General features: G+C 60.6%; 7 protein-coding genes and 2 long non-coding RNA genes across 49 annotated transcripts in view, besides 17 other annotated features; 3 read left to right on the top strand and 6 right to left on the bottom strand.

Moving 5' to 3' along the window:
• Positions 1-58: 58 nt before the first annotated feature.
• Positions 59-2,407, bottom strand: PPP1R14B-AS1 (PPP1R14B antisense RNA 1). 2 transcript variants are annotated; one of them, NR_135087.1, is made up of 2 exons: positions 2,184-2,407; positions 59-320 (listed from the first exon to the last, which is right to left on the bottom strand). It is a non-coding gene; the product is annotated as a PPP1R14B antisense RNA 1 (long non-coding RNA). The 2 variants fall into 2 exon arrangements; NR_135086.1 differs by lacking the exon at positions 2,184-2,407 and adding an exon at positions 1,014-1,219.
• Positions 617-756: a silencer, noted in NCBI's record as "silent region_3471". NCBI's record gives its function as "represses an Ori minimal core promoter by ATAC-STARR-seq in GM12878 lymphoblastoid cells {active_cell/tissue: GM12878}" and the evidence as "EXISTENCE:reporter gene assay evidence [ECO:0000049][PMID:35858748]".
• Positions 1,330-3,794, top strand: PPP1R14B (protein phosphatase 1 regulatory inhibitor subunit 14B). The gene is made up of 4 exons (NM_138689.3): positions 1,330-1,857; positions 2,986-3,069; positions 3,311-3,343; positions 3,451-3,794. The coding sequence occupies exons 1-4, from the start codon at positions 1,600-1,602 to the stop codon at positions 3,517-3,519; spliced, it is 444 nt and encodes a 147-aa protein (NP_619634.1). The 5' UTR covers positions 1,330-1,599; the 3' UTR covers positions 3,520-3,794.
• Positions 1,477-1,656: a silencer, noted in NCBI's record as "silent region_3470". NCBI's record gives its function as "represses an Ori minimal core promoter by ATAC-STARR-seq in GM12878 lymphoblastoid cells {active_cell/tissue: GM12878}" and the evidence as "EXISTENCE:reporter gene assay evidence [ECO:0000049][PMID:35858748]".
• A 343-nt stretch (positions 3,795-4,137) lies between the features above and the next one.
• Positions 4,138-7,178, bottom strand: FKBP2 (FKBP prolyl isomerase 2). 8 transcript variants are annotated; one of them, NM_057092.2, is given in 6 exon segments: positions 4,138-4,305; positions 4,397-4,432; positions 4,776-4,822; positions 4,962-5,074; positions 5,715-5,889; positions 6,060-6,157. In NM_057092.2, coding segments are annotated over 5 exon segments (429 nt in total). In that variant the 5' UTR covers positions 5,886-5,889; positions 6,060-6,157; the 3' UTR covers positions 4,138-4,243.
• On the bottom strand, positions 4,141-7,178 carry LOC114841035 (uncharacterized). Its single transcript, NM_001370414.1, has 6 exons — positions 6,060-7,178; positions 5,715-5,889; positions 4,962-5,074; positions 4,776-4,822; positions 4,397-4,432; positions 4,141-4,305 (listed from the first exon to the last, which is right to left on the bottom strand). The coding sequence occupies exon 1, from the start codon at positions 6,991-6,993 to the stop codon at positions 6,196-6,198; it is 798 nt and encodes a 265-aa protein (NP_001357343.1). The 5' UTR covers positions 6,994-7,178; the 3' UTR covers positions 4,141-4,305; positions 4,397-4,432; positions 4,776-4,822; positions 4,962-5,074; positions 5,715-5,889; positions 6,060-6,195.
• Positions 4,565-5,465: an enhancer, noted in NCBI's record as "H3K4me1 hESC enhancer chr11:64010280-64011180 (GRCh37/hg19 assembly coordinates)". NCBI's record gives its function as "activates a minimal SCP1, AML or CMV promoter by ChIP-STARR-seq in naive H9 embryonic stem cells {active_cell/tissue: H9 hESC(naive)}" and the evidence as "EXISTENCE:reporter gene assay evidence [ECO:0000049][PMID:30033119]".
• Positions 5,980-6,219: a silencer, noted in NCBI's record as "silent region_3469". NCBI's record gives its function as "represses an Ori minimal core promoter by ATAC-STARR-seq in GM12878 lymphoblastoid cells {active_cell/tissue: GM12878}" and the evidence as "EXISTENCE:reporter gene assay evidence [ECO:0000049][PMID:35858748]".
• Positions 6,250-7,269: a silencer, noted in NCBI's record as "silent region_3468". NCBI's record gives its function as "represses an Ori minimal core promoter by ATAC-STARR-seq in GM12878 lymphoblastoid cells {active_cell/tissue: GM12878}" and the evidence as "EXISTENCE:reporter gene assay evidence [ECO:0000049][PMID:35858748]".
• Positions 6,368-7,268: an enhancer, noted in NCBI's record as "H3K27ac hESC enhancer chr11:64008477-64009377 (GRCh37/hg19 assembly coordinates)". NCBI's record gives its function as "activates a minimal SCP1, AML or CMV promoter by ChIP-STARR-seq in primed H9 embryonic stem cells {active_cell/tissue: H9 hESC(primed)}" and the evidence as "EXISTENCE:reporter gene assay evidence [ECO:0000049][PMID:30033119]".
• Positions 7,269-8,171: an enhancer, noted in NCBI's record as "H3K27ac hESC enhancer chr11:64007574-64008476 (GRCh37/hg19 assembly coordinates)". NCBI's record gives its function as "activates a minimal SCP1, AML or CMV promoter by ChIP-STARR-seq in naive H9 embryonic stem cells {active_cell/tissue: H9 hESC(naive)}" and the evidence as "EXISTENCE:reporter gene assay evidence [ECO:0000049][PMID:30033119]".
• Positions 7,550-7,669: an enhancer, noted in NCBI's record as "active region_4891". NCBI's record gives its function as "activates an Ori minimal core promoter by ATAC-STARR-seq in GM12878 lymphoblastoid cells {active_cell/tissue: GM12878}" and the evidence as "EXISTENCE:reporter gene assay evidence [ECO:0000049][PMID:35858748]".
• Positions 7,710-7,769: an enhancer, noted in NCBI's record as "active region_4890". NCBI's record gives its function as "activates an Ori minimal core promoter by ATAC-STARR-seq in GM12878 lymphoblastoid cells {active_cell/tissue: GM12878}" and the evidence as "EXISTENCE:reporter gene assay evidence [ECO:0000049][PMID:35858748]".
• On the bottom strand, positions 9,009-13,689 carry VEGFB (vascular endothelial growth factor B). Of its 2 annotated transcripts, none has more exons than NM_003377.5 (7): positions 13,380-13,689; positions 12,773-12,815; positions 12,264-12,460; positions 11,946-12,019; positions 11,051-11,086; positions 10,618-10,853; positions 9,009-9,917 (listed from the first exon to the last, which is right to left on the bottom strand). In NM_003377.5, exons 1-6 carry the CDS (start codon positions 13,437-13,439, stop codon positions 10,640-10,642), a joined length of 624 nt encoding a protein of 207 aa, NP_003368.1. In that variant the 5' UTR covers positions 13,440-13,689; the 3' UTR covers positions 9,009-9,917; positions 10,618-10,639. The 2 variants fall into 2 exon arrangements, with proteins under 2 accessions (NP_003368.1, NP_001230662.1); NM_001243733.2 differs by having other exon boundaries at positions 10,618-10,752.
• Positions 13,062-13,431: a silencer, noted in NCBI's record as "silent region_3467". NCBI's record gives its function as "represses an Ori minimal core promoter by ATAC-STARR-seq in GM12878 lymphoblastoid cells {active_cell/tissue: GM12878}" and the evidence as "EXISTENCE:reporter gene assay evidence [ECO:0000049][PMID:35858748]".
• Positions 13,652-14,141: a silencer, noted in NCBI's record as "silent region_3466". NCBI's record gives its function as "represses an Ori minimal core promoter by ATAC-STARR-seq in GM12878 lymphoblastoid cells {active_cell/tissue: GM12878}" and the evidence as "EXISTENCE:reporter gene assay evidence [ECO:0000049][PMID:35858748]".
• DNAJC4 (DnaJ heat shock protein family (Hsp40) member C4) lies at positions 13,992-17,841 on the bottom strand. Of its 4 annotated transcripts, none has more exons than XM_047426865.1 (6): positions 17,333-17,841; positions 16,309-16,402; positions 15,659-15,843; positions 15,408-15,572; positions 14,293-14,379; positions 13,992-14,200 (listed from the first exon to the last, which is right to left on the bottom strand). In XM_047426865.1, the coding sequence occupies exons 1-6, from the start codon at positions 17,416-17,418 to the stop codon at positions 14,089-14,091; spliced, it is 729 nt and encodes a 242-aa protein (XP_047282821.1). In that variant the 5' UTR covers positions 17,419-17,841; the 3' UTR covers positions 13,992-14,088. The 4 variants fall into 4 exon arrangements, with proteins under 4 accessions (XP_047282821.1, NP_005519.2, NP_001294909.1 ...); NM_005528.4 differs by having other exon boundaries at positions 15,408-15,569; positions 17,333-17,725; NM_001307980.1 differs by having other exon boundaries at positions 13,992-14,379.
• LOC124902687 (uncharacterized) lies at positions 16,903-19,127 on the top strand. Its single transcript, XR_007062713.1, has 2 exons — positions 16,903-17,105; positions 18,236-19,127. It is a non-coding gene; the product is annotated as an uncharacterized LOC124902687 (long non-coding RNA).
• Positions 17,325-17,384: a silencer, noted in NCBI's record as "silent region_3465". NCBI's record gives its function as "represses an Ori minimal core promoter by ATAC-STARR-seq in GM12878 lymphoblastoid cells {active_cell/tissue: GM12878}" and the evidence as "EXISTENCE:reporter gene assay evidence [ECO:0000049][PMID:35858748]".
• On the bottom strand, positions 18,004-22,015 carry NUDT22 (nudix hydrolase 22). Of its 12 annotated transcripts, none has more exons than XM_047427702.1 (7): positions 21,846-21,999; positions 21,141-21,638; positions 20,780-20,872; positions 20,607-20,705; positions 18,929-19,026; positions 18,702-18,795; positions 18,004-18,090 (listed from the first exon to the last, which is right to left on the bottom strand). In XM_047427702.1, exons 1-7 carry the CDS (start codon positions 21,846-21,848, stop codon positions 18,061-18,063), a joined length of 915 nt encoding a protein of 304 aa, XP_047283658.1. In that variant the 5' UTR covers positions 21,849-21,999; the 3' UTR covers positions 18,004-18,060. The 12 variants fall into 12 exon arrangements, with proteins under 12 accessions (XP_047283658.1, XP_047283663.1, XP_047283660.1 ...); XM_047427700.1 differs by lacking the exon at positions 18,004-18,090 and adding an exon at positions 18,257-18,423 and having other exon boundaries at positions 21,976-22,015; XM_047427699.1 differs by lacking the exon at positions 18,004-18,090 and adding an exon at positions 18,257-18,423.
• Positions 20,821-21,338: an enhancer, noted in NCBI's record as "H3K27ac-H3K4me1 hESC enhancer chr11:63994407-63994924 (GRCh37/hg19 assembly coordinates)". NCBI's record gives its function as "activates a minimal SCP1, AML or CMV promoter by ChIP-STARR-seq in naive H9 embryonic stem cells {active_cell/tissue: H9 hESC(naive)}" and the evidence as "EXISTENCE:reporter gene assay evidence [ECO:0000049][PMID:30033119]".
• Positions 21,339-21,858: an enhancer, noted in NCBI's record as "H3K27ac-H3K4me1 hESC enhancer chr11:63993887-63994406 (GRCh37/hg19 assembly coordinates)". NCBI's record gives its function as "activates a minimal SCP1, AML or CMV promoter by ChIP-STARR-seq in naive H9 embryonic stem cells {active_cell/tissue: H9 hESC(naive)}" and the evidence as "EXISTENCE:reporter gene assay evidence [ECO:0000049][PMID:30033119]".
• Positions 21,884-22,293: a silencer, noted in NCBI's record as "silent region_3464". NCBI's record gives its function as "represses an Ori minimal core promoter by ATAC-STARR-seq in GM12878 lymphoblastoid cells {active_cell/tissue: GM12878}" and the evidence as "EXISTENCE:reporter gene assay evidence [ECO:0000049][PMID:35858748]".
• TRPT1 (tRNA phosphotransferase 1) overlaps positions 22,016-23,547 on the top strand; it is a 2,459-nt gene continuing 927 nt past the window's right edge. For 3 of the 18 annotated variants that reach the window (XM_005274345.5, NM_001160392.2, NM_001033678.4), the window contains exons 1-4: positions 22,087-22,223; positions 22,404-22,487; positions 22,693-22,774; positions 23,303-23,472. In XM_005274345.5, the coding sequence (XP_005274402.1) occupies positions 22,413-22,487; positions 22,693-22,774; positions 23,303-23,472 (327 nt within the window). In that variant the 5' untranslated portion in view covers positions 22,087-22,223; positions 22,404-22,412. The other 15 variants (XM_005274347.5, NM_001330298.2, NM_031472.4 and 12 more) reach the window with 9 other exon arrangements.
• Positions 22,459-23,181: an enhancer, noted in NCBI's record as "H3K4me1 hESC enhancer chr11:63992564-63993286 (GRCh37/hg19 assembly coordinates)". NCBI's record gives its function as "activates a minimal SCP1, AML or CMV promoter by ChIP-STARR-seq in naive and primed H9 embryonic stem cells {active_cell/tissue: H9 hESC(naive and primed)}" and the evidence as "EXISTENCE:reporter gene assay evidence [ECO:0000049][PMID:30033119]".
• Positions 23,364-23,423: an enhancer, noted in NCBI's record as "active region_4889". NCBI's record gives its function as "activates an Ori minimal core promoter by ATAC-STARR-seq in GM12878 lymphoblastoid cells {active_cell/tissue: GM12878}" and the evidence as "EXISTENCE:reporter gene assay evidence [ECO:0000049][PMID:35858748]".

Raw genomic sequence — 23,547 nt, 5'->3', positions numbered from 1 at the left:
AAGTCTCGTCTCCCGTTTTATCTAGCAGTGCGACTTAATTAACCTCTGTGGTGTAGTAATTGAACTTTCCACGAATTTTCCTATTTAATCTTTGTTACAGCCTTCTGAGGAAATGCAGGCACAGAGGAAGACATTCATTCTTTCAAAATCATTTGTTCAACCAATGCAGCGGCCTACTACGAGTGTGACATAGTTCTAGGTGCTGGAGTTCAGCGGGAGCCAGGTAATTTGCCTAATAGCAGTGGATTTGAAGACTGTTCAAGCCTGGTAGCACCAGCAGACCAGGTCGGCGCAGGCCTCAGCCCCGTGGCACTCACAATCTAGAAGTGGGAGACAGACAATACACGAATGAATGAGACCATTTAAAGATGCAGAAAATAAAATAGAGGGAGGGAATGGGATGCGCCGTCGGCTTATTGGAGGTGGGCCAGGGCTATGTGAAGGACCGAGGAGCCGCAGGGCGGGGGTGCAGGAGCCCCGGCACGGCGCCCTCTCTGCGGAGCCGACTGGGCGGCGGTCCCGACGCACGCTCCTAGGGTCAGCCGCAATTACCGCCTTTATTATTATAAGTCGCGGCCCCCGCACTGCCCAGCTCTTTGCGCCTTAGTTTCCCCCTCTGTGCGCACTCGGGTCGCGAGGCGCAGAGGACGCCCCAAACAACTTTGCGCTTCCCGGCCTGGCCGCAGGGCGGGGGAGGGGCGGCGCCGGGAGCGGACTCCGTTTCCCACAAGCCCGAGCCTCGCGCCATCTTGCCGGTGGGCGGTGGCTGCCCGGGGTTGGCCGTTTGGGCCGGCCGGGTGCCACCGCTCACCCCCAGCCCCGGCTTCTTCCGCTGGGGGCGTGGGACCTGCTACTCGGAGAGTCTAGGGACCCGGACAGCTCCTGCCCGCCTTCTCCACTCTTCCTTTCCCAGGAGCCCAGTCCACGTGTCGGTCCGTGCGGAGGAGCCCGTTCGCTCCTCGCTGGCCGAGGGCTGGAGGACCTGGACATCGGGGACCGCAGCGTCTCCTCACCAGACTCCCTGTCTGCACACGATGTCCACTCCCCTGCATTCTCAGATAGCCCCTATTCTCAGATGGCCTCAATGAGGACAGAATGAGGAAGGGTCCAATGAAGACTAGGGTCCTGGCGTGAGCGCAAATCGTCGTCCTGAGCGCTTAGAACGCCTGGGTTTGGGACTGGAAGGTTGCGTTTGGGGAGTACGGACAGCTAGGCCACCCCCTGCCGAATAGACCCTCCCCTACCCCTGCCCGGGGGCGGAGTAGGGGAGAGGGGCCTGTAGAGGGGCTGGCCCTTTAAGGGGGTGTGGTCGGGGGGCGGAGGAAGAGCGAGACAGAGAAAGCGCTTCGGCGGCTGCAGCTCGGGCGGCGGCCGCGGGGGACAAAGGGCGGGCGGATCGGCGGGGAGGGGGCGGGGCGCGGCCAGGCCAAGCCCGGGGGCTCCGCATGCTGCAGCTGCCCCCGGGCGCCCCCGCCGCCGCCCTCGCCGCGGAGCCGCGCGGAGCGGAGCCGGCGAGCTAACCCGAGCCAGCCGGCGGGCGTCCCGGAGGCGGTGGCGCAGGGAGGGGCCCGACGCTCGCACGTGGCCCCGGCGGCCGCCATGGCGGACAGCGGCACCGCGGGGGGCGCGGCGTTGGCGGCCCCGGCCCCCGGGCCGGGCAGTGGCGGCCCAGGACCACGCGTCTACTTTCAGAGCCCCCCCGGGGCCGCAGGAGAGGGCCCGGGCGGGGCGGACGATGAGGGCCCAGTGAGGCGCCAAGGGAAGGTCACCGTCAAGTATGACCGCAAGGAGCTACGGAAGCGCCTCAACCTAGAGGAGTGGATCCTGGAGCAGCTCACGCGCCTCTACGACTGCCAGGTGTGTTCCCACCCCGCGCCGACACCCCAAAATCGGTCTCGCGCCGGTCCGCCTGGCAGCTCCACTGTGAGCTCGCCTGTCACTGGAGTCAAAGGGCGCTTTGCTTCCCCGCGCGCTCCCCTCCCCTCTGCACTCCCGCCCCCAATATATACTCTTTCTTGCCTGACCTAAGTCACTTCTGCCTTCTCCGTTGCCTCGGACCCTGCCCCCCATCATGCCACTCCCCAGGTCAAGCCTAGTGTCCTCCAGACGCCTCAAGGGGTAGCCTGAGCCTTGGGCAAGAGGCAAGGGGGCTATCCTGGGCTGGCAGCGGCAGGAGGTCTCACCGCCTGGTGCCCGCTGGGTTAGACTGTGGTTACAAGGTGCTGGTCTGGTAGGACGGCTGCGGCTGGGCTGTTCTGTGGGCTAGCCTGGAGCTCCATCTTGGCGTGCGTGCAGGCTAGCCCGCTTTCTGGGCTCTGCTTCTCCACCCCCATGACTCCCTGGTTGTTCAGACGGTGACTCAGGCCCCGGGGGGCAGGGTGGAGGAGTGGGTTTGCCCGGTGCTGCCTGCCTACCCTAGCCCAGCCCTGGAATGCAGCTGACTACAAACAGGATAGGGGCTTCCTGGGGAGGGTGTGGCAGGGTGGTGGGCATCCCCTCCCTCACCAAAGCATGGGCTCTTTGTTTCCTCTTTGCCAGGCCTGGGTCCTTCCCAGTGACCCCTCAGCCTTCACTTCCTCCTCACTCCCGGGGAGCTGTGACAGGTGTTTGGGGGAGGGGAGGGGGGTATGATAAGCTGGGACAGCTGCACCCACCGGTGCTCTGGTGAGATGGGGGGCCCGGATGTTGGGGAGACACATCTGCTGGGTTCCCAGCCCAAGGTCCCCAACCCTGGCTGTCTGGCCTTGTCTGTCACCCCCCGTGCCCACTGGCAGGGACAGGAAGCTCCCCCCCCCACCCCGCTTTGGGCAGTTTGCCTTGGCACGGGCCTGATCTGTTTTCCTCCCCAGAGCAGCTGCTGTTCTGTCTGCTGGGCAGAGGGCTGGGTTCCTCCGAGGTAGGCAGGGGCCTCAACCCAGAGCCCCTCTCACACCCTCTCTCCAACTCAGGCTTATGTCTCTCCCTCCTCCCCCACCCCCACCCCAGGAAGAGGAGATCCCAGAACTGGAGATTGACGTGGATGAGCTCCTGGACATGGAGAGTGACGATGCCCGGGCTGCCAGGGTCAAGGTGAGGGGGCTGGGGGGCGATGGGTTGCCTGAGGCACTGCCCCGGGAAAGTGAGGCTGTGGAGCCAGGCCCTCAAGCCCCAGCTCCTGCCTCAACAGAATGGGGCCAATGCCTAGCTGTGAGGTTGTTGTGGCATCTCCTGTGCCTCAGGGTGGCCCCAGTCTCTTGGAAGTGGGTATAGGCGAGCTCCAGGCCCCCACTCCTGAGGACTCACTTATCCTTCCTCCCCCATCCTCTGCTAGGAGCTGCTGGTTGACTGTTACAAACCCACAGAGGTAAGAGATTTCCTGGGGGGCTGGCGGGGGTGGCAGGGTGAGGGGAGCCCGGCTCCTGTCATCTTGGGGTCTGGTCTCCTTAATGTTTACCCTCCCACCCCATCCAGGCCTTCATTTCTGGCCTGCTGGACAAGATCCGGGGCATGCAGAAGCTGAGCACACCCCAGAAGAAGTGACGGTCCCCGACCCAGGAGAACGGTGGCTCCCACAGGACAATCGCTGCCCCCCAACCTCGTAGCAACAGCAATACCGGGGGACCCTGCGGCCAGGCCTGGTGCCATGAGCAGGGCTCCTCGTGCCCCTGGCCCAGGGGTCTCTTCCCCTGCCCCCTCAGTTTTCCACTTTTGGGGTTTTTTATTGTTATTAAACTGATGGGACTTTTTGTGTTTTTATATTGACTCTGCGGCGCGGGCCCTTTAATAAAGCTAGGATACGCCTTTGGTGCAGCTAACAGGCTCGGCTGGTCTCTTTTAGGGGGGCACACTGCTCTTTGACTTCTGCCAGCTCAGCTTCTCCCCAGGTGACCACAGGCCTTCCTAAGGGCCACGTAGCCATGACGATAGCCCAGTGCTGGCTCCCAGACCAGGAGTTGAAAGTGGCTGGGGAGCTGTGGGGGTGGGGGGAGCAGTATTGCTGTTGGCAGGCAGGAACACTCCTTTCTCTCTGGGCAAGGGCCACCATGTCATTGAGCCTAGACCCCCAAGGCTCCACAGTCGGGAAAGGAGAAGGTGGTGGGGTATGCTGGAGCTGAGGTCTCTGAGTCTCTCAGGGCCCACAAACACACACAGGCTTACTCCTTGGGCTTTTAAGTGTTTTTTTGTTTGTTTTTGTTTTTTGTTTTTTTTTTGGAACAGTCTGGTCCCTGATGGGGGCCTCTCCCCCTGCCCCTCCCCAGTCTGGTTACAGCTCAGTTCGTCGCTCTATTTTGAGCAGCTCCACCTCGAACACCAGGGTTGCACCACCTGTAGGGGAGAAGGGGAGTCAAAATGCCAACCAGGGCCACAGGGAGGTGGGCTGGCTGCAGGTGATGGGAGGTATCAAAAGGTTTACTACCTGGAATCTTTGGGGGAGCTCCCCGCTCTCCATACCCTGTTGAAGATGCACAAAGAAACAGTCAGTGATGGCCAAGCTCCCTTCCAGTGTGGGCAAAGGGAGAGTGTTCCGCCCCTCTCAGCAAGAAGGCCAGAAATGGAGAAGGGTAATGGAGATGGGAAGGGGGTGCCAAAGGCCTGGCAAGGGCAGAGTGGGGCCACTACAGCTGAGTGCTTCAATGATCTTGCCCTGTACTCACTGCTAGACACAGCCAAACTTGGAGGAGGCATGTATTGTAATGAATGGATACGGTGAAGACCAATGAAAAGCTGAAGCAGCTTTCACCCTTCCCAGTCACACACCCCAAACTCGCTCTGCACCCTCAGGAGGGGCCTCTTACCTAGCTCGGATGGGATCACCAGCTTGCGCTTTTCCCCCTCACACATCCTGCAGGAAGACACATGCTCAGCCCATGGCAGCACCCAGGGCCCTTGTCTTGTATCCCTGGGGCTTGCCTCCCACAGCTTACCTCCTGGGCGGTGGCCATGCACGCCCCCACTCCCAAGCCCATTCCCCCATGACTCACCCCAGCAGCCCCTGGTCCCAGCCCTTGATGACCTGGCCTGTGCCAAGGGAGAAGACAAAGGGCTGGTTCTGGGGCAGGCTGCTGTCAAACTCTGTCCCATCTTCCAGCTTCCCCTGTGGAACCATGAGAAGGCCAGTGAGGAAGAGGGGACCACCCCTGACACCCCCTCCCTCAGCTGCTTTCCCCATCAAGCTGCCCCCCCACGCCCACCCACAGCCCTGGTGGTCAGTCCTTTTTGTTTTTTGAGATGGAGTCTCTGTTGCCATGGCTGGAGTGCAGCGGCGTGATCTCGCCTCCCTGCAGCCTCTGCCTCCCGGGTTCAAGCAATTCTTCCACCTCAGCCTCCCAAGTAGCTGGGATTATAGGCGCCCGCCACCACGCCTGGCTAATTTTGTATTTTTAGCAGAGAAAGTTTCATCATGAGGCCAAACTGGTCTCAAATTCCTGACCTCAGGTGATCCACCCGCCTCGGCCTCCCAAAGTGCTGGGATTACAGGGGTGAGCCACTGCGCCCAGCTGGTCATAGTTCTTTAAGAGGACAGAGCCTTGGGCAGCTCACAGTACACTGTCACTGCCTGCTGGTGCCCACCTGGGCAGTAGGCAAGGGCAAGGCAGAACCATGGAAACTGGCTTAGAGGCGAGAGGGGACTTGCCCAAGGTCACCTACCTGGCTTATGGAGAACCAGACTCCCAAGCACTCTCTGGTCCTCGGAAGCCCCACCCACTCCCAAAAGGCCCGCCCAACCCACTCACCGTGTAGTGCATGTGCAGGACATCCCCTTTGCGCGATTTGATGGGACAGTGGTCCACCCGCTTCTTGACCCCGATCTGCAGCTTCCTTTTGCCCTCGGCCCCCGTGGCCGTGGCCACGGCGCTCAGGCAGATGGACAGTACTGTCAGGACCCGGAACCAGCTCAGCCTCATGTCTCTGTGGGCACAGACCCCGACCGACCGACTGAACGTGGGGGAGGGCAGGGAGAGTATGGAACACGGGTAGGTAACAGGAGGGTTCCACCGCCACTGTATCTTCCTTGCCCCGGGGGATCCCCTTTGTCCCGGGTCACCGCCCTCTCCCCCGGGCTCCGGGGCCACACTTACCAGTCCAGTGAGAAGGGGGCTTGGCCGAGGACCCCAGCAGCGGGGGGAGGGGGTCAGGGGAGGCCACAGCAGCCAGGGACCCGCCCCTTTGCTCACCCCCATACCTTCCCTCCCTCCCAGTCCCCACCTCCGCTCTTCAGTTCCCGCCTGTCCCTTTACGCAAAGTCCAGACCCTATCTGGCTGCACTGCAGTTGCCCCGACTGGGCGGCCCCACTCACGCCACACCCAGCTGCCCCCGGTCCAGCACACCAACACCTCTGCGGCCGCTGCAGGGGGCCGGCCCCGAGGCACCCACACATCCCCACTGGGTGGCTCCGAGGAGCCCGGGTCCTCGGGAGATACCCCCCAGCCTGGCCCTGTGCTTCCGCCCGGGGCGCCGCCCCAACTCTGAGCCCTTGGGGGTCTCCGGGGCACCCAGACTGGCCCTGTGTCTGCTGGCCGCCGAGCCCGCTCCACCCACACCACCTCTCCCGGTGGAGTTCTCGGCCTACGGCGTCCCCAAGCCCGGCCACCACGGAGACCACCCCCGCGAGGACGCCCGGGGCCATTACTCGGGCCAGGCTCCTCACTTGGCTCCTTGGCACCGCCCTTCGGAGGACGCGGTACCGCCCCCGGGCCTGCAGCCCCGCCTTCGACAGAACTAGACCCCTTTTCCGGAGCCGTAGCCACGCCACTCACCGGCTGAAGCCCCGCCCCCAGCGCCTCCGCTCCGTCCCCCTCTGCTTCCGACCCCGAGGCTCCGCCTTTCACCTCCTCCAGCTCCTCCTTCAAGAGCCAGGCTCCGTCCCCCGACCCTCCTAGCTCCGCCCCCCGCCGCCGGGCTCCGCCTTCCACTGGCACCAGCTCGGAGGTCCCACCCGTCCCGGTTCCACGTCCCGCCCCGAGTCCCAGGACTCCGCCCCGTGCGGCGTGAGAACCCTCCCCCTGCGGCATCTCCGGACAGCTCCGGCCCCCACCCCCAATTTCCTCGTCACCTAGCTCTCGTTGACACTCGGAGCCCGGTCCGCTTCTGCCCGGCCTGATCCAGCCTGCCCTCTTGCACCCCGGCTCCCCCCAGCCCGGGCTGTGGCCCCCGCTCACCTCCTCGCCGCGCCCCCGGAGTCAACCCCGGTGGTGCTGCCGCCTCTGCGCAGGCGCGTCCTCGTCGCTACCAGGCCGGGCCACGCCGCCCTCCCTTATTGGACCGTGCGAAACCCGCGGCCACACGCCCGCTGGCACGGGTCTTTCCCGAGCCCCGCCCCCGCGACGCCGCTGCCCTGCGTCACTTCCGGCGGAGCGGTAGTCTGTAAGGTTAGGTGAAAGTGACTTCCGAAAAGGCCGGAGACACTTCCGGCCGAGGTGATAGTAAGGTCAGGCGGGCGTGGGTTCCCGGAGGGGGTCTTGAGGCGCCATTTCAAGTCGCCCCCAGCCTCTCCCACAGCACTCCTGTTTTCCCGGGCCTCATCATGGCCCACGGCCCTCAGTCGCTGTGGAGCCTGGGCTTCACAGTGACACTCACGTTTGAACTCCCGGTCGGCTGTGTGCTTGGTAGAATTTGTCATCCAATACAGGCGTGTAACACGGGCTTGATGACACCCACCCCACAGGGCCCCTGCAGGACCGAGATGATGTCCAATGACAAGCCCTGGCTTCCAGCCAATGCTCCTGCCCACATCTCTCTCCCAGGAGCCAGGCTTACCTCTACCTGTGCACCTGGGCTGTGACTCATGACTGGAATGATCTGGCTGGGCCTGTTCCCCCACCAGACTTATTTTCAGGCGCCCCAGCAGCCACCAAACATCTGTCAACTGAAGTAATGAACCTGCAGTTGAGAGGCAGCTAAACCTAGGTTGAAGGTTAGGGAGACAGCTGAGTTGAGGTCAAATCCCCCCGGCCAGTTAGCCTTTCTGAGCCTATTTCCTCAATTGTAAAAGGAAGACAATCATGATGCTGACCTCAGAATCGAGCGAGGAGAAAGTGAGGAGGTGCATGTGAAGCATTGTGCGTGACTGGTGGGGCTAACTGGGCTCTGGAGGCGGTAGCTCTGGGGCCCTAACCCCTTTCTGCCTCATGCTAATTGACCTATGGCATGTCCAGTGACATCATGACTGAGAAAATGATTTGAAAGTAGTAATCGCTGTCAGGAATTGTCTCCTGGTTCAACCCACTCCTGCCTTAGGCCCACTAAGATCATACCCACATGCTCTGACCCAACACCTCAGAGAAAGCCTCCATTAGGGTGGCTGCCCCTCCCAGTGGCTGCCCAATTGAGTTAACTCTGCCCCTGAATGTCCTGCTTCAGCAGGCAAAGCAGTGGTGCCCAAGGTTGGCCTTTCATCCACCCCAAACCACTCAGCCCTGGGCACTGGAGGCTGCAGGGAGAAGGGTAGGGGCTGGGCTTGGGCTAGGATAGACAAGTCAGGAGAATCTCAGGCAGCAACTGATGATGAAGGAAGCTGCAGGATGCAAGGGAGGCGAGGGTGGAGAAAACTGTGTGGGTTGGGCGGGCGCGGTGGCTCACGCCTCTAATCTCAGCACTTTGGGAGGCTGAGGCAGGTGGTTCACCCAAGGTCAGGAGTTCGAGACCAGCCTGGCCAACATGGTGAAACCCGTCTCTACTAAAAATGCAAAAATTAGCTGGGCATGGTGGTGGGCACCTGTAATCCTAGCTACTTGGGAGACTGAGGCAGGAGAATCGCTTGAACCCAGGAGATGGAGGTTGCAGTGAGTGGAGATTGTGCCATTGCACTCCAGCCTGGGTGACAGAGTGAGACTCTGTCCAAAAACAAAAAAAAAAACAAAAAACTGTGGGTTGGGTTGAGGGGAGCCTGCCGCCCAAACCAGGCCCACCAGCCCCAGACTTGCGGTGCTTCCCTTTCAGGGAGGTGGGAGTGAAGTTAAGACAGGGCAGGTGCTGAGGCTTTAGATTCAAGCTGCAGGGAACAAAAAGCAGCAGATGCTGAAAGCGCTGCCTGGCAGGAAGAACAAGTGTTCTTTTCTATTACGTAAAGATAGTCTCAAACTTCTCTGGGGCCCGAGGACGCCAACCACAGCAATCTTCTGTTCCCTCTATGTGCACATGTGGAAACTGCTGCTCAGAGAGGCAGGGGTAGTGACAAGCAAGGTCACTCAGTAGATCTGGGTCCTACCCCAAGCTCTCTGGCCACAGAAGGCTGTCTCCTTCTAGAAAAGAACCCTGGTGAAGAGCAGGAGGGCAGGCAGTCTGTATTGACTGGGCTATCCCTGACTCCCATGCGTGGCAATAACTTGAAAGTGATGAATACATAATTCTGGCCCTGCCTGGGATCTGCTGTGGGGCCTTAGTCCTCATTTCCTCCATCTGCACAATGAGGGAGCAAGACAAGCTCTGGATTTAGTGATGCAGACATTCATGCCCAAACCAGCCAGCCTGGACAGTGACAAACAGTGACACAGGCAGGGACAGCTCCTTCCATCTCTTTTATCAGGGTTGGGGGTCACAGTTCTTGTACCAAAGCCCAAATCCCATTATGCAGAGGTTTGGGTCTTCTTAGTGAGGGGAGGAAGAGCCAGTTGTAAGATGCTTACTTGCACAGAGTGGTTAGAAACTGAGACAGTACTCCATTCTCCCCTGAGCTGGTATGTGACCCCTCTTGCTGCCTCCCAGTCTCCTCTTCCAACTCTGTCCTGTTTGATGATGGCCTCAGGGAGACAAGGGATGGCAGAAGAGCCCTCTGAGAGGCCCAGGTCCTAGAGCAGCTTCTGCCTGGGCTGAGGTCTTGGGGGCTTGGCTGTTTTTTACCAGGCTCCTCTTTGTTCCCCCACTGGGATATAGCCTCTGAGGCAAGTCACCCTGCTGAGTCTGAAAAGCCATGTGTCACCTTCGCAGCTTCCGGCACCTGAGGAGGGAGGAAGTGATCTGTTCATGCTGGCTGGAGCGCAGCCCCAGCCCTGGACTCATGTGTGCCTCGGGCCCACTAAGATCACAACCTGAGCATCCTGCCACACCACTCGGCCCTGGGCACTGGAGGCTGCAGGGCGAAGGATGAACCTTTTGCAAAGGTCATCCCCTCCTGACACTCCTCGGGAGCCCCCACTGGCCCTGCCCATATGATTTCACCCCATGGCCTCACTGCGGGACACGGATGGTGAGAAACACATCAGGTAAGGGTGGACAAGGGTTCCACTATGTCCCCTGGCCTCTTGAAGCCCGTAGGTAAGGGCAGATGTCTACCACAGGGGCTTCTGGGAAGGCCCGAACTGCAAGCTGGAAAAGCTGTGTCCTACATTTCTACTCCGGGCAGATGTCACCTCCTCCAAGAGATCTCTGACCTCTGAAAGACGAGGCCAGGTACCCCTCACCACAGCCCTTGACATCCTCTGCTGGCATTGTCCCTCCTGTATCTGACTCCTGAGTTAGAATGTTGGACTTGCTTATACAGCTCCAGGTGCCAGCAGCTGTTTGGTAAATATTTGTTCAACACATTCAACAGTTTCCCCTTCCCTGGCCCTCCTCCTACTGGCAGGCTCACCCTGGACCTGCTCCAGGACAGGGCCTTGGTGCCTTCCCAAACAAACACCACCCCACAGACGCCTCACCTGCAGGTGTCTGGGTTGAGCTCTAAGCCCCGCCCTTGGCAACGGAGGAAGCTGCGGCGTCGGCAGCGGCAGCGGCAGGTCCGGGGGTCAGGGCGCTGGTGGTGCTGGGTGCAGCGTGGGCAGAGGGGCCTGGGGCTGGAGTGGGATGGGTGATGTCAGCTGGGGAGGGTGCTCCGGGGGCAGAGTCCCAGCCCGGAACAGAACGGGGCTGGGGACGGTGGTGGGGAGTGGCAGCCCTAGGGAGGAGAAGCGACATGTCTGGGGTGGGAAGGAAGAGTCTTCCCTAGAGCTGGGGTCGGGGCAGAGAACACAGGCTTGGGGAGCAGAGGAAAAGGGAAAGTGGGGGACGGGTGGGAGGAGAAAGAGGAGCAACAGCTTCTGGACTCACTTGTACTCCCCATACCCCTACTCAGCTGGAGTCCAAAAGACTCACCTGTCTGGCTTCACAGCACTGTCCTTTTTTTTAGGTCTGAAAAGTAAGATAGACAGACACAGACAAACAAGAGGAAGATCAGGAAATCCCAGCATCCTACTCTCTCTCTCTCTCTCTCTCTCTCTCTCTCTCTCTCTTTGAGACTGTGTTTCCCTCTTCTTGCCCAGGCTGGAGTGCAGTGGCGTGGTCTCGGCTCACTGCAACCTCCGCCTCCCAGGTTCAAGCTATTCTCTTGTCTCAGCCTCCCAAGTAGCTGGGATTACAGGCACCTGCCACCATGCGCGGCTAATTTTTGTATTTTTTTTTAGTAGAGATGGGGTTTCACCATGTTGGCCAGGCTGGTCTCAAACGCCTTACCTCAGGTGATCTGCCTGCCTGGGCCTCCCAAAGTGCTGGGATTATAGGTGTGAGCCACTACCCCCGGCCCAAGCATCCTACTTTGTTGCCCCAGATCCAAGGCCTACCCTTGGCTCTACTCTTTTTTTTTTTTTTTTTTTTTTTTTTTTGTGGCAGAGTCTTGCTCTGTCGCCCAGGCTGGAATGCAGTGGCACGATCTTGGCTCACTGCAAGCTACGCCTCCCAGGTTCATGCCATTCTCCTGCCTCAGCCTCCGGAGTAGCTGGGACTACAGGTGCCCGCCACCACGCCCGGCTAATTTTTTGTATTTTTTTAGTAGAGACAGGTTTTTACCATGTTAGCCAGGATGGTCTCGATCTCCTGACCTCATGATCCGCCCGCCTCGGCCTCCCAAAGTGCTGGGATTACAGGCGTGAGCTACCACGCCCGGCCCCTTGGTTCTACTCTTAGGAACCTGGTCCCCAGTTCTGTGGACCACCATACCCAGCACCCCCCAAGCCTGGCCTCTGCGAGCTCAGAAGTTGGGCCTGGCTGGCACCTGCATTCACACTGGCTGTGTTCTTCCAGGGACATCTCCCCCAGCTGACTGCTCGGGTACCGGATCATGAGGATCTGTGCTCAGGAGAAGAACAGGGGGGACAGTGAGGGAGAGAGAGAAAGGGGATGCTCTAAGACTGAAGGGAGAAAAGCTCACCCAACAGCCGGGAGGCTGGCCACCAGCCCTCCCCCCAACCCTGTCTCCTGTGCATCAGTCTCCAGGCTGCCCCAGCCCCAGAGCCAGCCAGCATCCACCCTGCCCGCTGCCCCACCTGCCCAGTACCTGCATCCCCTGCCCGTTGCCCCACCTGCCCAGTACCTGCATCCGGACTTGGTGCTGCCCAGTGGGCACACACTCCAGGCCATCGTCAGGGCAGCAGCCACCACAGCGCTGCACAGTCACGCAGCTGGGCACCAGCTGTTTGGCCACGGTGCCCATGAGCTCCACAGTCAAGGGCACCACCACCTCCCGGGGCTGGCAGGTAGCGCGAGTATACACATCTATCCATGACACCACTGGGAGCAGACCGGTAGGGGTTAAGTCCTCACTGGTTTTCCTGCAGCTGCTCCCAGCATCTGTCCTCCCCAGTCCCCAAGTCACAGCCACCCTCCACTAGCCCTCCCCACTCTGCCCTCACAACCTGTCTTCCCCTGCCCTGTTTATCCAGATCCCAGTAACCCCACTGCCTCAATTTCCTCCTCTGTGAAATGGGTAGAATAATAGTTTGAATCTTCTAGGGGAGTTACACAAGATGATGGACACCTGGAATCAGGGCCCATGACAAACCCTCTTAGTGCTGGCTAGTGCCGAGTTTTTGTAAGTATTACCTTTCCTCTGGTGGCCAGGGGCATCAGGCTGGGAGACAGGGGCCTGTGGGAGAGAAAAGACCTGTACCCAAGGTACACTTTAGGAGGGTGTGGCCCTGTCACCGTCCCTGGGGCTTTGCCCTTGCATCAGTAGGCTTCACCACCTCTCTGACATCTTTCCAGATTGCTCTGTTCCTGCGGCCACTGCTCTAGCTTTACCTGTCCTCTCCTGGCCACCCGGGACCTGCCCTGGCCCAAAACGCAACAGGTGCTCTGGTGGCCGCGCCAAATCTCCAGGCCGCGGAGCCGAGCATGTTTGGGGGCTGCATGCAGATCAGGAGCGCGCACAGTGCCCACCGAAGCAGGTCCTGCAGGCACCGAGGGAGCCCCGCCCCCGGCGGTGCCCAGGGGACGGGGTGGGGCGGAGGAGTGGCCCCAGACTGGGGCTGGCGGGCCAGCGGGGAGGGGCACCTCCCAGGGGATGCACGCGCCGGGCCCCCGAGACGCCCGCGTCCAAGGCCGGACCCCGCAGATCCCCTCGGCCGAGGCCGCGGGTCGCCTCCTCACTTCCGCCAACCTTGAGAGAGGGCACGGCGGGCGGGCGGGCGCGCTGTCGGGCCGCACGTACCTGGGCGGGGGCCAGCTGCAGGAGTGCGGCGAGCAGCAGGCGGCGGAGCAGAGGGCTCATGGTGCCCGCCGGGGCCGCCCGCCGGGGGCGCCCGCATCGCCCTAGCCCGGCGGCGCGGGGGGCGGCGACAGCCAGAGCCCCATGGCGCGGGCCCGGGCGCGGCGGGCGGGGGCCGGGCGCGGGGGGCGACTCCTCCGCGGCCCCCTCCCGAGCCCTGGGTGCAGGCAGCGCAGCGCAGCGCAGCGGAGGCGGCCGGAGGAGCCGGGCGGGCGGGCGGCCGGTGGCGGCGGGCAGCGGCGGCGGGGACGGCGGGGGCGGCGGGGGGCTGGGCCCGGGCTGGCGGGCAGGCGGCTCATGTGACCCAGACACGCGCTCCCCACCGGCCCGTGGGGCGGGGGCGGGGCGGCGGGGTGGGGGGGCGAGGCCGTCGGCGGGGCCCGCCTCCTCCACACACCCCCTCCCGCCTCCCGCCGCGGCAGGGGAAAGGGGACGCACCGCCCAGGAGGCTGGGCTCCCCAGTCGCCGCCGCCACTACCCGGAGGGCGGGGCGCTGCCCCTTGGCGAGGCCGGGGCCGGGGGCGTCGGGCCTTAAGGAGGGAGCCGGACACGAGCTCTGCGAATCACTTTATTGCGCGCGTTTCGGGGAGCGGGCCGTCCAGGGAAGGAAGCAAAGCGGGAACGCACTGCAGGCCCCATCCAGGTGAGCCCCTCAGGGGCCGGCGCCCCGGGGCACGATCTCGGGGCCTTGGGTTGGCTCGGATGGTGGCGGCTGCCGCTGCCCTAGCCGTTGTCGCTCCTGCTGAAGGATGCCTCTGTTGGCCCTGGAGGAGAGGGCACCTGGGTGGTTGGGATAGGGATCCCGAAGTGTGGTTCCTGGACAGGGAGCAGGGAGCAGAATAGAGCAGGGACAGACCTGGCCCGTGCCCGGGCTTCGTTGTAGAAGGCTGTGATGATCCGATCCTTTTCATCCATGAAGTTAAGGTGCATCTGCTTCACCTTCCTGCAATGGGTCACAATTAACCCTGGGAATCCAATTCCTGCTGTCCCTGAAGTCCTGCCCCCTTCCACCCCACTCTAGGGGCCTCACAGCTTTTTACCCTTACACAGGGTTAGGAACCTCAGTCTAACCCTTCCTGTGATAGATAGGGAGGGCTCAGAGTGGCCCTGGCTTGTCTAGGGTCCAATGGCATCCGAAGTCCCTGGTCACTTTGAGGTGTGACAGCAGCTGTGGACATGGGGGTGCTCCTCCCAGAAGACTAGAAAGGGTATGCGTCTAACTCCATCACTGAACTAGGCAGGCTGCTAGCAGTGGGCACTGGCCTTTAGGTATCTGCTATAGAAAATCGGCTTTGTGGCCAGGCGCGGTAGCTCTCACCTGTAATCCCAGTACTTTGGGAGGCTGAGGCGGGTGGATCACCTGAGGTCAGGAGTTTGAGACCAGCCTGGCCAATATGGTGAAACCCCATCTCTACTAAAAATACAAAACAACTAGCCGGGTGTGGTGGTGGACGCCTGTAGTCCCAGCTACTCGGGAGGCTGAGACAGAAGAATTGCTTGAACCTGGGAGGCAGAGGTGGGGTTGCAGTGAGCCGAGATTGCGCCACTGCACTGCAGCCTGGGCAACAGAGTGAGACTCCATCTCAAAGAAAAAAAAAAGAAAAAAAGAGAATAAAGAGAATCAGCTCCGTGGCACGCGTGAGAGTGGCAGGGAGATGCCTACTGCCAAATGAATGAGCTGTGCTGCATTTGCTGCTTGTGCTTGATTTTGTTTGGCTCAATCCCTTCCTGGCAGCCAGCATGAAAGATTTACATTCGAAATATGAAAAACTGTAAATGACAACGTTAGCTCTTGGTGCAGCGCTGCCTTTAATAAGTAAGGAGAGGCTCCAGAGACCAACTTCAAGCAGCTCTTAGCTTGAGAGACACAAGAGTACGGGCCACGAGGTGCTGTGGAGGACTGGCTGACCACACTGGAATTCACCCACCCTCCTGCCCTCTGCCCATCACCCCGGGGAGAACAGGCATCACCTGAAGGCAATGTAGTGCAGGCCCATGCCCGCCAGCATGAGGAGGAGGCAGTACCCCAGCACTTGTTTGTTTTGTTTGTGTTGCTGCTGCCTCAACTGGGGCCCCTGTGGCCTCACGCTGTGAAACTGGGACCAGTACTGTGCGTTGGGGGGTGTCCAGGAGCTGCTGGGAGGCAGAGGAAGGGACATTGTGGAAATGAGACTACCCAAGAGACCTGGGGGTGGGGCAAGCTGAGGGCAGGATTACTGTACCTGTGTGTTTGGTGGGCAGACTTGTCATGGACTGTGGTTCGTGGAGACTTTGGGGGACTACCTGAGCGGAGCTGGTCATCATAGCTGCGGCGGCTCTGCTCACGGCTGAGCACACGGTATGCCTCGCTCAGCTCCACAAAGCGGCTGTGCAGGCTTGGGTTCCCAGGGTCCCGGTCTGGGTGCAGCTGGGGTGGGGCAGGACTCCCCTTATCTCCCTTTGCCTGTCCCTCCCCAGGACCCATGCTGATGACATCCACCCACCAGGGCTCCAGTCATACCCAGAGGCCCTGCCTGGTCAGTGACCCTCACTCAGGCCTGCCCACTCCTCAGAAGGCCAGAGAGCATGGACTCCTGCTTCCTCCTGTGTTCAAGCCCTCCCCACCTGCCAGCCCCCTGCATTCACCATATGCCCTGGTCCAGGTTTCTCAAGAGCAGGCAGGCAGGTCAAGAAAACCAAGCCCAGCCCATCAGACAGGACCCCTGGCTCCTGCCCACAGCCTTTCCCCTACCATTGAGCACCTGCCACTCCCTATGAGGGCTGAAAAAATGTGGCACCCGCCAGAGATGCTGGTCTACTCCTGGGAATTTGAAGCACACCCCCACTGGCTCAAAGTTCCTGCTCCCCCTCCCCACCTCAGGGGTACGGGTACCTCTTTGGACTTGGAGAAGAAAGCTCGTTTAACTTCCTCAGTGCTGGCACCAGGATGCACCCCCAACAGTTCATAATAAGTACTGGGTCTGGACCTGTGGACAGAGTCCCAAACCTTGCAGGGGCTGAAGGAACCCAGAAGCTAGCTCTGCCCTGCCTTCTGGGCCACACCCTTCAACTCAGCCACCAGGAGCTGACAGGGCTGAAACAGGTCCCAGGACAGATCTGTCTCCAGATCAGCACCCCCTTTGGAGTGTTTCAGGCATAGTGCAGGTCAGGATTTCTCAAAGTGGAGTCCAAAAACTTGTTGGAAAAAACTGATTCCTGGACAGGCGCGGTGGCTCACGCCTGTAATCCAGCATTTTGGGAGGCCGAGGAGGGCGGATCACCTGAGGTCGGGAGTTCAAGACCAGCCTGACTAACATGGAGAAACCCTGTCTCTCCTAAAAATACAAAATTAGCCGGGCGTGGTGGTGCATGCCCGTAATCCCAGCTACTCGGGAGGCTGAGGCAGGAGAATCGCTTGAACCCGGGAGGCGGAGGTTGTGGTGAGCCGAGATTGCTCCATTGCACTCCAGCCTGGGCAACGAGCGAAACTCCATCTCAAAAAAAAAAAAAAAAAAGGAAAAAGAGAAAGAAACTGATTCCTGACCCCCACCCAATTGATTCCTCCAGTTCAGAATCTCCAGAGCAGAGCCCAGGAATCTGGATTTTGTACCCGACACCTCCCCATCTCCCACCCCCCACAGAGGGTTATGCACAGTGATACAGCGATGCTTGGAAACCACTAGAGCTGTGGTAAGAGCGTTGGGTTTGACCTGGACTCAAACTTCCTCCTCTGCCGCTTAAATCGGTGTATGACCTTGGGGGTCTTCTCTATCTCTGATCCTCAGCAGGGAAGGCGAGGGTTACCTGAGACAAACCTGGGAGCCTCCTGACACGGAGTAGAGACCACAACTAACTCAGCACGTAGGGCAAACAGAAACCCATTGAACAACCGGGCCGGCCCCCCGCGCCCAACTCACCGCTGCCCGGCGGCCGCTCCGAGGAGCCGGGAGGGAGGGTTGCGGGGCCACAGCCGGCACAGGCGCAGGGGCAGTAAGGGCGGCATGGCGGCGGGCGGGCAGCTGGGAAAGGAGGCTACCAAGAGCGCATTGGACCAGGATGGGGCTAGACTTCAAGCACCCGGGGGCAGAGGGAAGGGGCCTGGCCCGTTGTTCTGCAAAGGAAGACTGAAGCAGGCCCGGAGAGGGGGCGGTTCTTGCCCAGGACCAGACCCGCGTGTCCTTGGACCTGCCCCTTCCTCTGACCCGGGCATCCGCAGCCCTTCCCAGCGCTGGCTTCGGGGTCTGGCCACCCAGCCAGGGACCCCAAGACCCCGTTCCCACCCAGGGAACTTGGGGACGGGAGAAGGAGGGGCCACAACCAGGCCCCGCCCCCGCTGCTCACAGACCCGCGGCCGTCGCCATTTCCTGCGTCTATTCAGGCCCCGCCCTCACATTCTCATTGGCGTGGATGCCAAGACCACGTCCACCTGTCAGGAAAAAAAAAAAAATCGGTGGAGACCCCGCCCCTACATGTCTATTGGCCTTTGGTGCCTCCGGTCCCCCAGCCTGCGGACTCGCTGGACAGGCGCGGGCGCCCACCTGGGGAGCGGGCGGGACAGAGCCCGCTCTCTGCGGCTTTGTGACGTTTTCGGCCCGGCCACCGTGTCTCCGTTCCGCTGTTGCTCCCCTCTGCAGCGAGGTATATCTTACGGAGCTGCTTCCGCCCCGGAGCCTCTCTGGAGCCAGCAAAGAAAGGGAGGCACAGTTCTTATCCCCTGCTTGCAGAGGGGGACACAGGCTGGGCGGGTTTTTTTTTTTTTTTTTCCCAAGTCACTTGTCCTGCCTTACACACTCAGGGCCCATTGCTCCTCTCTGTTACAGAAATAGCAGATGCCAACGGAATCCAAGAATAAAGTCGTTTATTATTTTCAGAGCGGCGGGAGTAGGGCTGGGGACCCTAGGGCCGCTCCAGTGGGACTTCCCTGAACCCGGTTGTAGAGGATGATGGCGCCTTTGGCCGAGGGGCAGAGTTCAGCCCACATCTCCGTCTCGAGCAATCTCTGCACGTTCTGTGGGGAGACAACGAGACCCAGGCATTCAAGCTTGCCACTTCTCCTGCCAGGGCTGTGCCCAGAATTCCTGAGCCTCAGAGACCTCTGCACTGTCCTTAGGGAGGCATGTTAAGGGGCTGAACATGTCCCTGGACCTTTCCCTTGCACTGAGGGCAAATCTTGTGACTCTGGAGGGAATTGTGACCCAGCCAACACCTCCCCTACAAGATATGCATTGCCAGGCCTCTGCAGGCCCCAGCCCTGGCCTCCAAGCAAGATGGTTTGTCACTCTGCACCTGTGTCTCCACAAAGAAGATTCCTGTAGACTCGTGGGCCTCGGGTCCCCCACTCAGGTAGTGCTTCCTCACCTGCTCAGAAGTCAGGCTGCACCTGGACAAGAACACAAGGGTGGCTTAGTGGGTGACCAGCCCCTGCGGGGTACCTGTGGAGCCACAGCTGCCTCAGCCCACTCCTCACCACCCACCTTCCCAAGACCCAGGATCATGTACCCGAGCCTACTCACTGGACATAGAACTCGGCACTGGCTCGGCCAGCACTGGTCTCATTTCGGGCGATGCCCAACAGCAGGGGCTGGCTCAGGGTGAGCAGCGGCAGGTTCACCTGCGGTGGAGGGTGGGGTGGGGGGAGGTCCCACCTATCAATGCCACTGCCCACATCCCTGCCCGTCTCAATGAAAAACCGCCTGTTACCTGTGTACAGCATTTTATAGCTTGTAGATCAAGGACCCAGCATTACAGAATGTCAGATGATGGGCATGTTTGTTTTACAGGTACACCAAAACCAGAGAGATTGAACACGTTGCCCAAGGTCACCCAAGAGAAGTCAATTTAGTGACTGGGACTCCCACTTACTCCTTTTTCTTTTTTTCTTTTTTTGAGATGGAGTCTCGCTCTGTCGCCCAGGCTGGAGTACAGTGGCACGATCTCAGCTCACTGCAACCTCTGCCTCCCAGGTTAAAGTGATTCTCCTGCCTCAGCCTCCTGAGTAGCTGGGATTACAGGTGCACGCCACAACGCCTGGCTAATTTTTTGTATTTTTAGTAGAGATGGGGTTTCTCCATGTTGGCCAGGCTGGTCTCGAACTCCTGACCTCAGGTGATCCGCTGGCCTTGGCCTCCCAAAGTGCTGGGATTACAGGTGTGAGCCACCACACCCTGCCACACTTACTCCTTTTTCTTTTTTTTGAGACGGAGTCTCGCTTTGTCGCCCAGGCTGAAGTGCAGTGGCGCGATTTCGGCTCACTGCAACCTCCGCCTCCCGGGTTCACGCCATTCTCCTGCCTCAGCCTCCTGAGTAGCTGGGACTACAGGTGCCCGCCACCACGCCCGGCTAACTTTTGGTATTTTTAGTAAAGTCAGGGTTTCACCGTGTTAGCCAGGATGGTCTTGATCTCCTGACCTTGTGATCTGCCCACCTCAGCCTCCCAAAGTGCTGGGATTACAGGCATGAGCCACGGCGCCCGGCCACTTACTCCTTTTTCAACAGACTTGGGGAGTAGGCAAGATATTTATCATTGTTTCCATTGAAAAGAAGAATCCTTGGCGGGGCAAGGCATGAGAATCACTTGAACCCAGGAGGCGAAGGTTGCAGTGAGCCGATATGCCACCACTGCACTAGCCTGGGCAACAGAGCAAGACTCTGTCTCAAAAAGAAAAAAAAAAAAAAGAAGAAGAATCCGGCCTGGTGCAGTGGCTCACACCTGTAATCCCAGCACTTTTGGAGGCTGAGGCAGGCAGATCACGAGGTCAGGAGATCAAGACCATCCTGGCTAACAAGGTGAAACCCCATCTCTACTAAAAATACAAAAAAAATTAGCCAGGCATGGTGGCGGATGCCTGTAGTCCCAGCTACTCAGGAGGCTGAGGTAGGAGAATGGCGTGAACCCGGGAGGTGGAGCTTGCAGTGAGCAGAGATCGTGCCACTGCATTCCAGCCTGGGCAACAGAGCGAGACTCTGTCTAAAAAAAAAAAAAGAAAGAAAAAAGAAAAGAAGAAGAATCCAAGGCAGAGGGTACTGAGGGCTAGAATTCCACTCCAAGTATGTATAGCTGCAAAGCCAACTTCTTCCCTCATTGCTGGCCAGATGCCTGCAGGCCTCCTGCCAGCCCAGACCTGTAGAATTCTGGCAAGTCCTACCCCCTCCCTTCATGTCTACCACCCTGTCCAGGTCAACCTCACTCACCTCATCACAGATCTCCTGAAGGACACTGGAAAAGAGTTCATGTACCACCAGCTGCCCAGCGAGGTCCTGGTGCTGGGGGCTGCCACCAGGGCACAGGGCCTGTGAGAGGTCAGGCTCAGCCCCTGCTCCCCACCTCTTCCCCCTGCCCCATCTCAGGACCAGCAAGCCTATACCTGCTGGCCTTGAGGGTCTGATGTGGCACAGTGTAAGAGAGTTAGTGATCCTGAGTCTGGTGTCCTTTCCCTGACAGACAACCAGAGGTCCAGCTTCAAAGGAGATACACAGGGGGCAGGGGTGGAGTAGGGCATCTTCTTCCTGTGCCCAATCTTTCCTCCCGTGTTTTCTAGTTTCTCACAGGACTGGGGCAGGGGTCAGTGGGGAGGCAGGTGGACTGCCCTGAGCAAACTTCCAGAGAAATACCAGGCCAATTTTCCCTTTAAGGAATGAGGAAACCAAAGCTGGGAGGATTGGGAGGGTGGAGAGCTGCAGCTCCCTTGAGCTGTCTGGGTCTTTGTGCCCAGCCTGGAATCTCACCTGAGGCTCAGGGTGCCCACCAGGTACGTCCACCAGCCCAGGGGCCTCAGCCACCTGCCGGGAGCGGCGCAGGAAGACAAGGAAGTCATCGGCTGTGGCTAGTGCAGCGCCCACCCCCAGTGGGTCCGCCAGATAGGCCTGCGTGTCACCCCAGTCGGTGGCACCCTGCTGTCGCAGCCAGGCAGCTGAGCTGGACCAGTTGGTGCCCAGGAAGTCTCGGTAGGAAGTAAGGCCCAGGCGCAGGAGCAGCTGTGGCCCCCGAGAGCCAATAGGCGCCAGGGTGGCTGAGTGCAGGCGGAACTTGGGGGCGTCGAAGAGCCAGGGTTGGGCCTTTAGCCGGGTCTCCCAGATGGCAGTGATGGCCTCGTCCCCACCTGGCAGTGGGCGACGGTCATGGGCGGGGCTCAGCTCGGCCTGTATCTGCTCCTGGGGCAGGCCCCCGCCAGGGCACTGCAGCAGCAAGGTCACCTCAGGATCCATGGTCTGAACGGGGCAGCTCTGGGGGAGGATACGGCCAGGCCTGTCATCCAGGGGGGCCACTACCACTCCTGGGCTGCGCAGCTAGCCCCCTCTGTCGCAGACCTCCTGAGGGTATCCGCAGCGCTTCTCCACCCCCCTGACCACTCCTTGGGCAGTAAAACGTGCCATCTTCCCCGCAGGAGCCCCGAGTCCCGCAGGGTATCCAGGACGCCCGGGCATCCCTACCATCCAGAGGTCTTGGGTTCAGGCGCCCCAAATGCCCATGTCCCCCAAACCCAGGGGTCTGCCTCCGACCCGGGGCGCGCGGGGACCCCTTTCCAGGGCCCGGAAGCTCCAGCCTCCAGCGGGCGCTCACCAGCCGCCGGGTCCCTCAGGCTCCGCCCCTTCCCCGAAGCGGAAGTGCCCGCCCCCTTTCCACGCGGCTTTTCATTGGCGGGTCCGCCGCGGTCGAGGATCCTGGAGGTTTGTCCCCGCCGCCCCGACGCTTCCGCCCGGTCCGTCGGCACGTCGGCCCTGCCTCCCGGACCACCCTGCGGGGCGCACCAGCGATCTGGGGTGCGGGGCTCGGCCTCCCTGCGCTCCTGGCTGACCGTGTGACCTTGGGCAAGTCTGGCCTGCTGGGCCTTAGTTTCCCTCTCTGCAGCAGGGACTTGGGGGTGGTGAACTTAATGAGCCGTATACTCCCACCCAGCGCTCACTTCCTGAGGCTTTGTGACTTTCTGGGAGGGATGGGGACGTGGAAGGGGCCTTAAAGCAGTCCCCCCTCGTCACTGCCCCCCACAGGTCTTAACCATGAACTTCTCTGGAGGAGGGAGGCAGGAAGCAGCAGGGTCCAGGGGTAGAAGGGCTCCCAGACCCCGAGAACAGGTGCGCGCCTCCTCCCCACCCCCTCCCACCAGTCCAGGCTCCCTGGGAGTTGCTGGGGGGCGGAGCTGAAGGGTCCTACTATTCCTGGAGACCACTGGCACTCCTTTCTCTCTGGGCTCTCTCTGCAGTGGGTCATTGAGGGTTCAGGATGGGCAGTAGGGCAGGGTCACCATGGAGACTAGGGGCCACCGCTGGGTTCTTTCAGGACCGAGACGTGCAGCTGTCCAAGGCTCTGTCCTATGCCCTGCGCCATGGGGCCTTGAAGCTGGGGCTTCCCATGGGAGCTGGTAAGTAGGGGCCTTGGAGGCTGGGGCTTGAGCCCAGAGAGAAACGTGAGCCTGTCTGCGACTCCTCCCTGATGGCTGCCTCCACCGCTCCCTGAGGAAGGCACAGAGTGCACTTCCTCCCCATGCACAGAGGAGAGCAAGGCCTAGAGCCCCTGTCATGTCCACAGCAGACTGAGGAGAGTTCTTGTCTGGGCCAGGCCTGGTGACCGCCCCCTCCAGCCAAGCAGCCAGATCAGCACTTACCCCGAGGGCGAGCCCTGGAGGATACGGTGCAGCTGGTGGTGTGAGTGTGCACTCCGGGCCAGCGCTATGCTGGGCACTCACCTCCCTGCCCCTCCGTGAGGCAGATCCTCTTTTTATGTAAGTTGAAAAAACTGCGGCCCAGAAAGGGGAGACTTTCTAAAGGTCCCACAGAGGATGCCCAAGCGATCTCCAAGCCCAGACTTTGTTTCGGTTGCCTGTGGCTCCCTGTTAACCCTGGCCCAGTCCAGAGCAAGGTTAGCTCCTGAGCACCCTGCCTGCCCACAGATGGCTTCGTGCCCCTGGGCACCCTCCTGCAGTTGCCCCAGTTCCGCGGCTTCTCTGCTGAAGATGTGCAGCGCGTGGTGGACACCAATAGGAAGCAGCGGTTCGCCCTGCAGCTGGGGGATCCCAGCACTGGCCTTCTCATCCGGGCCAACCAGGGCCATTCCCTGCAGGTCGGGGTGAGGGGACAAGTGCGAGACGAGATGGGAGGGACCCCTGCCTGCGAAGGGGGTCTCACTGCTACCCGT

This window comes from Homo sapiens, chromosome 11 (genome assembly GCF_000001405.40).
Source record: "Homo sapiens chromosome 11, GRCh38.p14 Primary Assembly".
NCBI lineage: Eukaryota > Metazoa > Chordata > Mammalia > Primates > Hominidae > Homo > Homo sapiens.
Note: the sequence above shows the minus strand (reverse complement) of the source record. Positions and strands in the feature narration are given on the sequence as shown.

Coding starts and splice junctions, on each gene's coding strand:
- PPP1R14B (NM_138689.3), top strand. CDS start 1,600: ATGGCGGACAGCGGCACCGCGGGGGGCGCGGCGTTGGCGGCCCCGGCC. Junction 3,070..3,310: donor CCCGGGCTGCCAGGGTCAAG/GTGAGGGGGCTG, acceptor ATCCTCTGCTAG/GAGCTGCTGGTTGACTGTTA. Junction 3,344..3,450: donor ACTGTTACAAACCCACAGAG/GTAAGAGATTTC, acceptor CACCCCATCCAG/GCCTTCATTTCTGGCCTGCT.
- FKBP2 (NM_001370365.1), bottom strand. CDS start 6,608: ATGGCCCCGGGCGTCCTCGCGGGGGTGGTCTCCGTGGTGGCCGGGCTT. Junction 4,823..4,961: donor TGGGACCAGGGGCTGCTGGG/GTGAGTCATGGG, acceptor GTCTTCCTGCAG/GATGTGTGAGGGGGAAAAGC. Junction 4,306..4,396: donor AGCTCCCCCAAAGATTCCAG/GTAGTAAACCTT, acceptor TCTCCCCTACAG/GTGGTGCAACCCTGGTGTTC.
- LOC114841035 (NM_001370414.1), bottom strand. CDS start 6,993: ATGCCGCAGGGGGAGGGTTCTCACGCCGCACGGGGCGGAGTCCTGGGA.
- VEGFB (NM_003377.5), bottom strand. CDS start 13,439: ATGAGCCCTCTGCTCCGCCGCCTGCTGCTCGCCGCACTCCTGCAGCTG. Junction 11,087..11,945: donor CACAGCCAGTGTGAATGCAG/GTGCCAGCCAGG, acceptor CTTACTTTTCAG/ACCTAAAAAAAAGGACAGTG. Junction 10,854..11,050: donor AGTGCTGTGAAGCCAGACAG/GTGAGTCTTTTG, acceptor TCTCCTCCCTAG/GGCTGCCACTCCCCACCACC.
- DNAJC4 (NM_001307980.1), bottom strand. CDS start 17,418: ATGCCGCCCTTACTGCCCCTGCGCCTGTGCCGGCTGTGGCCCCGCAAC. Junction 16,403..17,332: donor GGAGCGGCCGCCGGGCAGCG/GTGAGTTGGGCG, acceptor CTCTGTCCACAG/GTCCAGACCCAGTACTTATT. Junction 15,573..15,658: donor TCTGCCCACCAAACACACAG/GTACAGTAATCC, acceptor TCTGCCTCCCAG/CAGCTCCTGGACACCCCCCA.
- NUDT22 (XM_047427699.1), bottom strand. Junction 19,027..20,606: donor TTCAGGAGATCTGTGATGAG/GTGAGTGAGGTT, acceptor CCTCCACCGCAG/GTGAACCTGCCGCTGCTCAC. Junction 18,424..18,701: donor TCTTCTTTGTGGAGACACAG/GTGCAGAGTGAC, acceptor GTCTCCCCACAG/AACGTGCAGAGATTGCTCGA.